Here is a 14,033-nt window from a genome sequence, read left to right as displayed (position 1 = left end):
AGAGCCACACAGGGCAAGGGAGCCCTCAGCCAAAGGAGGCCGCGAGTGAGCGTGCTACCCAGCCTGGGAAGCCCTGCTTTTTCCATGGAACTGCGCAACCCACGGATCAGAATATCCCACGTGGGAGCCCATGTTATCGGGCCCTTGGGTCTCAACCACAGAGCCGCAGAGATTCTCATCAGCCTCTGGGCTAGAATTGGCCTCAGCCTGCCTAGTTCCCCGAATGGAGGGGCGCCCAACACCACAGCTGCACTGCCTGTGGTCTAAGCCATCCCGAACTCCTTGGGGGAGGGGCGGCAGCCAACAGTGGGGCTGCAGGGCCTCTTTGCAGGAGCTCCAACTCCAGCCAGGGACTCAGGGACAAAACTCTGATCTCCTTGGGCCTGAGCCCCTAGCGGGAGGGGCTCAGCGGACCAGCCGACTTAGTCTTTCCTCCTGCTAGCTCTGAGGAATCCGGGCAGCCCAGATGCGTAGGTTTCCCCACAACGCAGCACACCCCCTCCACCAGGGGACAGCCAAAGTGCTTTGTTAAATGGATCTTGCTTCCTGTGCCACCCAACTGGGTGAGACCCCCCAACAGGGGCTGTCAGACATCCTATACAGAAGCATTCTTACTGGCATCAGTTTAGCGCCCCTCAAGGTCAGAGATCTCAGAGGAAGAAGCAGGCACCCATTTTGCTGTTCTCCAGCCTTCTTGAGTGACATCTCCAGGTGTGGGAGTGAACCAGATGAATAGGGCCTGAAGTGAATCCCCAGCAAACCGTGGCAGCCCTACAGAAGAGAGACTTCCCTATTGAAAGAAGAACAAACAAACAGAAAGCAACAACAACATCAACAAAAAAAGTCGCCATAAAAACCTCATGCAAGCAGCCTCGAAGATTGAAACTAGACAAAGTCATGAAGATGAGAAAGAAACAACGAACAAATGCTGAAAACCCGAAAGGCCAGAATGCCTCTTCTCCTCCAAATGATCACAACACTTCTCCAGCAAGAGTGCAGAACTGGATGAAGTACGAGATGGACAAACTGACAGAAGTAGGCTTCAGAAGGCGGGTAATAACAAACTTCGCTGAGGTAAAGGAGCATGTTCTAACCCAATGCAAACAAGCTAAGAACCTTGATAAAAGGTTATAGGAGCTGCTAACTAGAATAATGAGTTTAGAGAGGAACATAAATAACCTGATGGAGATGAAAAATGCAGCAGCATGAGAACTTCATGAATCATAGACAAGTATCAATAGCTGCTTGAATCGATCAAGCATAAGAAAGAATATCAGAGATGGAAAACCATCTTGTTGAAATAAGGCAGGCAGACAAGATTAGAGAAAAAAGAATGAAAGGAAACGAATGAACCCTCTGAGAAATATGGGACTATGTAAAAAGACCAAACCTATGACTGATAGGAGCACCTGAAAGAGATGGGGAGAATGGAAGCAAGTTGGAAAACATACTTCAAGGTATTATCCAGGAGAACTTCCTCAACCTAGCAAGATAAGCCAATATTCAAATTCAAGAAATCCAGAGAACACCACTAAGATACTCCCCCAAGAAACATAATCATCAGATTCTCCAAGGTCAAAATGAAGGAAAAAATGTTAAGGGCAGCCAGAGAGAAAGGCCAGGTCACCTACAAATGGAAGCGCATCAGACTAATAGCAGATCTCTCAGCAGAAATCCTACAAGCCAGAAGAGAGTGGGGACCAATATTCAACATTCTTAAAGAAAAGAATTTTCAACCCAGAATTTATATCCGGCCAAACTAACCTTCATAAGCCAAGGAGAAATAAAATCCTTTTCAGACAAGCAAATGCTGAGGGAATTCATCACCACCAGGCCTGCCTTGCAAGAGCTCCTGAAGGAAGCACTAAATGTGCAAAGGAAAAACCAGTACCAACCACTACAAAACACATGAAAATATAAAGAACAATGACACTATGAAGAAATGGCATCAATTAGTGTGCAAAATAACCAGCTAGCATCATGATGACAGGATCAAATTCACACATAACAATATTAACCTTAAATGTAAGTGGGTTAAATTCCCCAATTAAAAGACACAGACTGGCAAATTGGATAGAATCCAGACCCATCAGTGTGCTGTATTCAAGAGACCCATCAGTGTGCTGTATTCAAGAGACCCATCTCATGTGCAAAGACACACATAGACTCAAAATAAAGGGATGGAGAAAAATGTACCAAGCAAATGGAAAGCAGAAAAAAGCAGGGTTTGCAATCCTCATCTCTGACAAAACGGATTATAAACCAACAAAAATAAAAAAAGACAAAGAAGGGCATTACATAATGGTAAAGGGATCAATGCAACAGGAAGAGCTACCTATCCTAAATATATATGCACCCAATACAGGAGCATTCAGATTTATAAAACAAATTCTTAGAGACCTACAAAGAGACTTAGACTCCCACACAATAATAGTGGGAGACATTAACACCCCACTGTCAATATTAGACAGATCAATGAGACAGAAAATTAACAAGGATATTCAGGACTTGAACTCAGCACTGGATCAAGTGGACCTAATAGATATCTACAGAACTCTCCACTGCAAAACAACAGAATATACATTCTTCTCAGTGCCACATGGCACTTACTCTAAAATCGACCACCTAATTGGAAGTAAAACACTCCTCAGCAAATGAAAAAGAACTGAAATCATAACAGTCTCTCAGACCACCGGGCAATCAAATTAGAATTCAGTATTAAGAAACTCACTCAGAACAACACCACTACATGGAAATTAAGCAACCTGTTCCTGAATGACTCCTGGGTAAATAATGAAATTAAGGTGGAAATCAAGAAGTTCTCTGAAACCAATGAGAACAAAGAGGCAACATATCAGAATCTCTGGGATGCAGCTAAAGTGGTGTTAAGAGCAAAATTTATAGCACTAAATGCCTACATCAGAAAGCTAGAAAGATCTCAAATTGACACCCTAAAATCCAATTAAAGTAACCAGAGAAGCAAGAGCAAACCAATCCAAAAGCTAGCAGAAGACAAGAAATAACTAAGATCAGAGTGAAACTGAAGGATATAGAGACACGAAAATCCTTCAAAAAATCAATGAATCCCGGAGCAGTTTTTTTGAAAAAATTAATAAAATAGATCACTTGCTAGAGTAATAAAGAAGAAAAGAGAGAAGAATCAAATAGATGCTATAAAAAATGATAAAGGGGATATCACCACTGACCTTATAGAAATACAAACTACCATCAGAGAATACTATAAACACCTCTATACAAATAAACTAGAAAATCTGGAAGAAATGGGTAAATTCCTGGACACATACACCCTCCCAAGACCAGGAAGAAGTCGAATCCCTGAATAGACCAATAACGAGTTCCTAAATTGAGGCTGTAATAAATAGCCTACCAATGAAAAAATCCCAGGACCAGATGGATTCACGGCCAAATTCTACCAAAGGTCCAAAAAGGAGCTGGTGCCATTCCTTCAGAAATGATTCCAAACAATTGCAAAGGAGGAACTCCTCCCTAACTTATTTTATGAGGCTAGCATCAACTTGATAACAAAACCTGGCAGAGACACAACAAAAAAAGAAAACTTCAGGCCAATATCTCTGATGACCATCAGTGAGAAAATCCTCAATAAAATACTGGCAAACTGGACCCAGTTCAGCACATCATTACAGAAATGCAAATTAAAACCACAATGAGATACCATCTCATGCCAGCAGCTCATCAAAAAGCTTATCCATGACCATCAGGTCGGCTTCATCCCTGGGATGCAAGGCTGGTTCAGCATTCACAAATCAATAAATGTAATCCATCACATAAGCAAAACCAGTGACAAAAAACACTTGATTATCTCAATAGATTCAGAAAAGGCCTTTGACAAAATTCAACATCCCTTCACGTTAAAAACTCAAACTACATGTTGATGGAACATATCTCAAAATAATAATAGCTATTTATGACAAACCCACAGCCAATATCATACTGAATGGGCACAAGCTGGAAGCATCCCCTTTGAAAACCAGCACAAGAAAAGGGTGCTCTCTCTCATGACTCCTATTCAACGTAATGTTGGAAGTTCTGGCAACCAGGCATGAGAAAGAAATAAAGTGTATTCAGATAGGAAGAGATTAAGTCAAAATGCCTCTGTCTGCAGATGACATGATACTATATTTAGAAACTCCATCATCTTAGCCGCAAAGTTTCTTAAGCTGATAGGCAACTTCAGCAAAGTCTCGGGATACAAAATCGATGTGCAAAAATTACAAGCATTCCTATGCACCAATAATAGACAAACAGAGAGCCAAATCGTGAATGAACTCCCATTCACAATTGCACAAAGAGAATAAAATACCTAGGAATACAGCTAACAAGGGATGTGAAGGACCTCTTCAAGGAGAACTACAAACCAATGCTCAAGGAAATAAGAGAGGACACAAACAAATGGAAAAACATTCCATCCTCATGGATAGAAAGAATCAATATTGTGAAAATGCCCAAAATAATTTATAGATTCGATGCTATTCCAATCAAGCTACTATTGGCATTCTTCACAGAATTGGAAAAAACCACTTTAAAATTAATATAAAACCAAAAAAGAGCCCACATAGCCAAGACAATCCTAAGCAAAAAGAACAAAACTGGAGTCATCATGCTACCCAACTTCAAACTATGCTACAAGGCTACAGTAACCAAAACAGCAGGGTACTGGTACCAAAACAGGCACATAGACCAATGCAACAGAATATAGACCTCAGATATAAGACCACATATCTACAACCCTCTGATCTTCAACAAACCTGACAAAAACAAGCAAAATGGGGAAAGGATTCCCTATTTAACAAACGGTGCTGGGAAAACTGGCTAGCCATATGCAGAAAACCGAAACTGGACCCCTTCCTTACACCTTATACAAAAATTAACTCAAGATGGATTAAAGACTTAAATATAAAGCCCCAAACCATAAAAACCCTAGCAGAAAAGCTAGACAGTGCCATTGAAGACAGAAGCATAGGCAAAGATTTTATGATGAAATCGCTAAAAGCAATTGCAACAGAAGCTAAAATTGACAAATGGGATCTAATTAAACTTAAGAGTTTCTGCACAGAAAAAGAAACTATCATCAGAATGAACAAGCAACCTACAGAATGGGAGAACATTTTTGCAATCTATCCATCTGACAAAGGTCTAATATTCAGAATTTACAAGGACTTAAACAACTTTACAAGAAAAAAAAACAAACAAACAATGATCCCATCAAAAAGTGGGCAAAGGACATAAACAAACACTTCTCAAAAGAAGACATTTATGCGGCCAAAAAACATGAAAAAAACTCAATATCACTGATCATTACAGAAATGCAAATCAAAACCACAATGAGATACCATCTCACGTCAGTCAGAATGGTGATTATTAAAAAGTCGAGAAACAACAGATGCTGGTGAGGCAGTGGAGAAATAGGAATGCTTTTACATTGTTGGTGGGAATGTAAATTAGTTCAACCATTGTGGAAGACAGTGTGGTGATTCCTCAAGGATCTGGAACCAGAAATACCATTTGACCCAGCAATCCCATTACTGAATATATACCCAAAGGAATATAAATCATTCTATTATAAAGATGCATGTACACATATGTTTATTGCAGCACTATTCACAATAGAAAAGATATGGAACCAACTCAAATGCCCATCGGTGATAGAGTGGATAAAGAAAATGTGGTATATATACCACGGAATACTATGCAGCCACAAAAAAGGAATGAGATCATGTCCTTTGCAGGGACATGGATGAAGCTGGAAGCTATCATCCTCAGCAAACTAGCATAGGAACAGAAAATCAAACACCACATGTTCTCACTCATAAGTGGGAATTGAACAATGAAAACACATGGCCACAGGGAGGTGAACAACACACACTGGGGCCTGTCAGTTGGTGGGAGGGGGGAAGGAGAAGGGAGGGAGAGCATTAGGACAAATAGGTAATGCATGCAGGGCTTAAAATCTAGATGACAGGTTGATAGGTGCAGCAAACCACCATGGCACACGTATACCCGTGTAACAAACCTGCATGTTCTGCACATGTATCCCTAGCTTAAAGTTTAAAAAAAAAAAAGTCTTAAAAAAGAGTGAAAAGAAGGGAACTATAGTTATTTCAATGATGTGTGTTAGCAATTAAGCTTTTGATGGCTATACAGTTTAATAAAGTATGCACCCCAACCTGTTTATAAATCAAATAGTACATATTTACACAGTTAACCACAAATGTAGATATCTTAGTGCAAAAAAAAAAAATTTAGGGCTTTGAGACCTATAGCAAATTTTATGCCCAGAGAATCCCACAGGAAAGATATCACTTGCTTACACCTATACCATGGTGTGTGGATTAATTTGATGCTAACTTGGCTAGGCCATGGTATCCAGTGTTTGGTCAAACACCAGCCTACATGTTGCTGTGAAGGTATTTTTAAAGATGTGAATAACATCTTAATCAGTATACTTTGAGTAGATTACCCTCCATAGTGTGGATGGGCCTTATCCAATCAGGTGAAGGCCTTAAAAGAAAAGACTGAGGTCCCAGGAGGAACAGGAAATTCTGCCTCCACACTTGAGCTGCAGCATCAAATTTTCCCTAGGTCTCCAGTCAGCTGGTCTATCCTGCAGATTCAGACTTCTCAGCCCAACAATTACATGAGCCAGTTATTTAAAACTAATCTCCCTGTTTATATTCACATTCTATTGGTTCTGGTTCTCTGGGGACCCCAGATGAATACACACACTTACTATCTTCCAGTCATTTTTTAGGTACTTTGTGGTTATTAACTCATCTTACCCTCACTGGGATCTGAGACCTTCTGGGATCAGTGGAGAGACAGAGGACACAGCCCTCTCTGGAAGGCATAGGTAGCAGCCTGGCCCGATCTTGCCTTGGATGAACTACTGGCCTGGGGTTTAGGCACTCAGACTAATTAGAAGTGTCCAAGTCCCTGGGAAGAAATTAGATTGTGCATTCAATTATATACATCTCTAGGGTGATATTGAATTATTTCCTTTGGAAATATGAGTATGTCTCCTAGCATTAAAAGGAACTTAATAACATAAAATGGGGCTTGAAAATCCAGGCAACAATTGTGTTAGAAATTACTAATTCTAGGGACTTTTAACAAGCAGTTAAATTAGGTTATTAGAGAGTGTGTGGAGATCTAAGTATTGCAGATCAATGTGTGAATGTATTCAGATTCTGTCCGCATCTGTAATCATAATAAAGGGTTGATTTTCTCACAGCAAGCAAAACAAGGCACACAATAAGCCCATTTCCTCTTCTAGATGAAATGATTAATTCATTAACATTTATTAGTTGGAAATACTTAAAAGACATTGATTCATGTCACTCACAATTAGCGAGTGTTGCCTTCTCATTGACCTAGTCTTTCAACTTTAATTAGCAAGGGATACCTGGAATACTATATTGAATGGGATTTTCAGATTGGAGGCAGCACATTCAACCACAAAAATATTAATTAAGGACCCACTATGTGTAGGCACCAAGTTAGACATTGAGAGTGAGATAGCAGATAGAATATCCCAGTCCTTGCTTTCAGAGAATTTGAAGTGTGGTGAAGAAGACAATTAATCCAGTAATTCCAATAGAAGGGGCAATGCTGTGTGAGGACAGGTGGGGCACAGTTGAAACATCTCACCTGGTCTAGGGGGTCTTGGACAGTTCCCTGTAGGAAGCAATGGTCAAGGATTTGTGGGGGCAGAGAGGAAATAGGAAGATGGTGTTTGCAATGGCATGGGAGAGGCCATGGTATCTTGTGTTCTATATTTATGTTAGACCCATTTAGAAGCACTTAGGTATAAAGTTTTCAAGAGGAGAAACACTGTTTTGGGTGTCTTGTAACTACCTCCATAGCAGTGAAAATGGAAATCTGGGGTAATGAAAAATCAATAGGAGAAGTAAGTGGATCACTCCCACTGGAAAAATAGCTTGGCACCTTCTCAGCAAATGACACCTGCAACTTCAGTGTGACCCAGCAATTGTACTCCTGGGCAGTTATCTAGAGATATGAAAATGCATGTTCACACAAAAGTCTGCACACAAATGTTCAAAGGAGCTTTCTTTGTAAGTGCCCAAATTGGAATGAACCTGGTGTCCTTCTATAGGTGAATGGTGTAGTCCAGCTGTACCATGAAATACTATTTAGCAATGAAAAGCACAAAGTATTGATACATGAAACAGCCTGGATGAGAAATATGCTGAATGTAAAATATTACATACTGTATGAGGTTGCATGCTGTATAACAGTTTACAAATGGTGAACAGATTAATGGTTGCCAGGGAAGAGAAATTGATGTAGTTATAAAAGGACAACCCAAGGGGTCCTTGTGTAGTTTGAACTGTTTGGTAATTGTGGATATACAAACCTATATTGGTGATATAAATGTGTAGGATTTAATACACACAAAGAGTCCAAATTAAACTGGGGAAATCTGAATAAGATCAGTGGATTCTATCAGGGTCAAGATACTGGCTGTGATATTGTATTACAGTTTTGCAGAATGTGTCTAGTGGGGGAAACTGGATAAAGGGTAAAAGGGGCCTCTCTGTATCATGTCTTAGAACTGCATGTGAATATATAGTTATCTGAAAAGAAATAGACAAAGAACCAGAAAAACATTTAAAAGTCAACTAACATTCTACAAAGTCCAGAGATGTGAGAAAAGTGTGGATGGAGCAAAAGAGGCTGTGACAGGAGGGGCATGAAAGGAACTCCCTTGAGTTGCTAAATGAAGGATCAAAGCTAAGGCTTCAGAGAGCTGGACAACAGCTTCATCATGTTATGCGGTGGCTTTGATTGAAACTCTTTAAGAGCCTCAGGAGGGGATCCACCTGCATGGGCCCCTTTGGGGTGGTCTTGCTGGCAGGGATTGGATTGCAGGCATAGCTTGAATGACACAACTGTAATAGGAAAGTTTAAGAGTTTCCAGTACCTATGGACCCCGGGACATACACTGCATGCTGGGAGCACAGGCAGGGAGACAGAGGAAAAAGCTGTGGCAACTAGCAGTGTATACTGGGGAACAAGGTGTGGGTCATGGTAAGTTCATGGGCAAATGCTCAAATGGAGCCTTTAAAGAGAGTGGTGGGGAAAGCTAGGAGCCAGTCCACTAGGTGGAAGACGTGCCATTGTGTTCTTATTGCTGACCACCGGCTAAGACCATTTGGGTGGTGCAGAGCTGAGAACTATGTTGGGGGTGACTGAGCCCTGCCTCTGACACAAGAAAGCTAAACCTGCCTTCAAAACAGATGTGGGGGCAACATGTACTGAATAAGCACATGACCCCTCATGGGTTAGCCTGTCAGAAGAGTAACCTTTATTTCGTATGTCAAAAATTTAATGGTGGCTATTGTTTAAAAAACCCTGATTCTAAGATGGGTTTAATGGTGACTCACCCCCTGCAATCCCAGCACTTTGGGATGCCAAGGCAGAAGGATCCCTTGAGCTCAGGAGTTCAAGACCAGCCTGGGCAACGTAGTGAGACCTCATCTCCTCAAAAAAAATTAAAAATTAGCTGGGTATGGTGGAGTGTGCCTGTAGTCCCAGCTACTTGGGAGGCTGAGGCAGGAGGATTGCTTGACCCTGGTAGGTCAAAGATGCAGTGAGCCATGATAGGACCACTGCATTCCAGCCTGGGTGACAGAGAGAGACCTTGTCTCAGAAACAAACAGACAAAAAAACCCCCTGATTCTTTAGAAACAAAGACACTAACAAATATATTAGTGATATGGTTTGGCTGTGTCTCCACCCAAATCTCATCTTGCATTGTAGTGCCCATGATCCCCATGTGTCGTGGGAGGTACTTGGTGGGAGGTAATTTAATCATGGGGGTGAGTTTTTTCCATGTTGTTCTCCTGATGGTGAATAAGTCTCACAGGTCTGATGGTTTTATAAAGAGGAGTTCCCTGCACATGCTTTCTTGCCTGCCACCGTGAAAGACATGCCTTTCTCCCCCTTCACCTTTTGTCATGATTGTGAGGCCTCCCCAGCCATGTAGAACTGAGTCCGTTAAAACTCTTTTTCTTTATAAATTACCCAGTCTTGAGTGTTTCTTCATAGCAGTATGAAAATGGACAAATACAATTGTGCTTCAGTATTCCCTGGATAGAAATACTGGCTGTGTTGGGGCTTTCCCAGATCATCCCTGGGTTCTGACTCACTAGGAGGACTTACAGCATATACAGTGATACTTGTGACTATAATGGATTACGGTGAAAGGATCAAAGTAAAATCATCAAAAGGAAAAGGCATATGGGGCAACATTTTGGGGAAAGCAGGCATGAGCTTCCAGGAATCCTGTCCTGATAGAGTCATGGGGGATGCATTTAATTCCCCTTTATGATGCGTTATGACAACACATGTAAACTGTTGCCTGCCAGGGAAGCTCACTAGACACTCAGTGCCCAAGGTTTTTGTGTGCTGCCTAGCACATGTCAAAATCTCAGACTCCTAAAAGGAAAGCATTTATTCAGTATAAACCACATTGTACAGTGGTCCACAGTGATCTCTTATTAATTAGGGCAGTGAAAACCCTGACCTCCCTAAAATCCAAGTTCCCAGAAATCAGCTGAGGGACAACCTCATAAGCAGATCTTTCAAAGGACAGCAATCAGGCCTGCTATGCTAACCCTTTTTGCATATAAGCCTGCAGTAATCCTGTGTTTCTGGCTGATGCTGTATTGCTTTGACACATCTGGAATCTTGCTGACCCTGGAGGGACTGCTCCTCCTAGGGTAGCCAATTCCTAGAAAGAGTAAAGGACTCACCTGCAAGCTCACCCTTCATATGCAAACCAACCAATCCAGAGCCCACACCCCAATCACATCTTTATTGAGCTCTTATACTCATGGCCACTATTCCCCTGTCCTAATCACCCCAGGGCCAGGTAACAGACAACTAAGGACAGCCTCTTTGCCCCAGAGTCCACTGAAATTACTCAAGTCAGCCAATCCTGAGCCTGCTTATCCTGCCTCTCTCATTCCTTCCTCTGGAAACCACAGTAAAGGCTCTTACCCACAGTTTCCCTCTCCCTCTGCCTCCTGGCCCACCTTGGTGCTTCCTCCTGTGGCCCTTTCCCACCCCATGGGAAAAGGCCCTTCCTCTTGCGGTCTGTGAGTAATAAACTATCTTTTCAATGGCAGTCATCTCCTGGTCTATTGACCTCACTATACCTGAATAATAATGAAACCTACGCTTAAAACAAGGTCAAACATATATCATCTATCTATCTATCTATCTATCTATCTATCTATCTATCTATCTATCTGGATAGGACATTGAAATACCATTCAAAGTTAGCATGTCCTTAATACCTCATATAGAAAGACTGACATGCAGCAGTGCATGTAGAAGGTGGGGCAGGGAGCTGGGCACTGTGATATTCTGCCAAGTATCTGCCAAGGAGTTGATACATGCCCTCTCCTCTGAGGCTCATGATGGTGGAAGAGGATTAGGGCTATTAGTAGCTGAAATCCTACCTAGCCACTTGCTAGCTTTGAGGCATTAAACAAGTTATATTCTAACTTTGAACCTCAATTTCTTTACCCATAAATGTATTTTATCTTATTGTTGCTTCCTCATCTGATTGTTGTTAAAATTAAATGAGAGGAGGCATGTGATGTCCCTGGCTCATCATAGACTCTCAATCGATGCTTGTTCTACCAATCCTCCAAATGAAATATGGTTGCCAGGTAGGGAAGAATGCTGCATTATTATAAAAAGCTGATTAGCAGGCCACATTCACATAAAGAAAAATTAAATTATGTAAGATGTGATATGTGTATGTACCTGACATTTTTGTGAAAGTGGTTAACAATGTAGCACATTAGCCTTGACATTAGACCATCAGGAGACTTACTAGTTAAAACTAGCACCTTCCATCAATATTAAAAACAAATTATGTATATAGCCATTCATATATTTTTATTGTGTTTCTTTATGAGAGAACATTTTATCTAACAATAATCATTAGAAAAATGTTTTCAAGGTTCCTGGCATAGTAAATACACTTCTAAAGATCAATTATTTTCTCTCTACCAGATTAAAGAGTTGGAAAATTAAATAACAAAGAGTGTCATATATCAAAGTGTTAAGAGTGTGAAGGCACTTAAATAAATCTAGCAACAGATGTGGGAGACCTCCATGCAGAAAAGTATGAGATATGGTCCAAAGTGACTTAGATCAGAGGGAAGATATGCTACAGTTGTGGATCAGAAAACTCAATATTGATACAGAGTCTGAGTAATTGTAATAAAAATATAGCCAAATTTTTTTTTTTAATTCAGCAAGCTGATTCTGAGATTCATAATAAATGCAAAGATCAAGAATAGCTAAGACACACATGGAGAAACAGAGGAGGTGGTGTAACTGGCCCTACCAGATGTTAGGACATTATAAAGGCACGGTAAATGGTAAGGGAAGTGTCAGTGCAGGGCCAGGCTTGGGGTAAAAATTAGACTTTGGGGGCTCAGAAAGAGACCAAGGCACTATGGACACTTGATATATGACAGAGTTGGTACTACACAGCAGTGGGGAAAGAATATTGTTTTTAGTGAATGATGCTGGGGCAGTTGGATAGCCCAGTGGACTCTAACTCACACCATATTCGAAAAATAAATTCTGGGTGGGTTAAACAACAAAATGAAAAAAGCAAACAAAACATGTCAAAAATAATCTTAAGTGAGACTCTTCATAACCCAGGACACAGGGAATAATTTCATAAAGAGACACAAAATCCATTAGCCATAAAGGAAAGTATTGGTAAATAAAATTTACCTTGGTAAAAAGGCTGGATGTGGTGGCTCACATCTGTAATCCCAGCACTTGGGGAGGCTGAGACAAGAGAATTGCTTGAGGCTAGGAGTTTGAGACCAGCCTGGGCAACATAGCAATACCCTGTGTCTACAAAAAATTTAACAATTAGCCAGCCACAGTAGTGTGCACTTGCAGTCCCAGCTACTTGGGAGGCCGAGGTGGGAGTATCCCTTGAGCTCAGGAGTTCAAGGCTGCAGTGAGCTATGATTGTGCCACTGCACTCCAGCCTGGGTGACAGAGCAAGTCCCTGTCTCAAAAAATAAAATAAAATAAATATCCAAAAATTCAGTGCAAATTTCATCAAAGGAATCCATTAAAGAGACTGAAAAGATAAGCCAGTAGAAGATATTTTTGACATATGTTATCTGAGAAAGAACTTGTATCAAGTTCTCATTATATATTCTTGTATCAAGAACATGTAATGAGCTCCTGCAAATCAGTAGATAGAAAATCCGAAGGAGGCTAGGTGAGGTGACTCTCTCCTGTAATCTCAGCACTTTGGGAGGCCAAGGCAGGCAGATCACTTGAGGTCAGGAGTTCAAGACCAGCCTGGCCAATATGGCAAAACCCTGTCTCTACTAAAATACAAAAATTAGCTGGGCATGGTGTGGGCACCTGTAATCACAGCTACTTGGGAGGCCGAGGCAGAAGAATTGAATTGCTTGAACCCAGGAGGCAGAGGTTGCAGTGAGCTGAGATCATGATACTGCACGCCAGCTGGGCGACAGAGCAAGACTCCATTTCAATTAAAAGAAAAAAAAGAAAAGAAAAGAAAAGGAAAAAGAAAGAAAAGCCAAAGGAAAGATGGGCAAAAGGCTTGAATAGATTTTTTAAAAAAGAGGATATGCAAATAACCTGTAGAGACTAAAAGAAAATCCAAATTATTGGGAATCAGGAAAATGCAGATTCAAACCACAGTAAGATTCCGTTACATACCCACCAGATGGGCAACATTAAAATAACTGATAATTCCAAGTGTTGATGAGATTATGAAACAACAACTTCATACACTACTGAATGATAGGCAACATGTATGCAACTACTATGAAAAATAATTTTTCATTGGTTACTGAAGTTCAACATACTCATACCTAAGAACCAAGTTCATTCATACATATCTCCAACGAAATCTTAAATAGTTATGAAATAAACAAACCATATGAATGCAACAT

General features: G+C 40.8%; 1 annotated feature.

Moving 5' to 3' along the window:
• Positions 245–746: an enhancer, noted in NCBI's record as "H3K4me1 hESC enhancer chr8:54554567-54555068 (GRCh37/hg19 assembly coordinates)". NCBI's record gives its function as "activates a minimal SCP1, AML or CMV promoter by ChIP-STARR-seq in naive H9 embryonic stem cells {active_cell/tissue: H9 hESC(naive)}" and the evidence as "EXISTENCE:reporter gene assay evidence [ECO:0000049][PMID:30033119]".

The sequence above is a fragment of the Homo sapiens genome, chromosome 8, assembly GCF_000001405.40.
Source record: "Homo sapiens chromosome 8, GRCh38.p14 Primary Assembly".
NCBI classification, from domain to species: Eukaryota; Metazoa; Chordata; class Mammalia; order Primates; family Hominidae; genus Homo; species Homo sapiens.
This window is presented reverse-complemented; position numbering and strand designations above follow the sequence as displayed.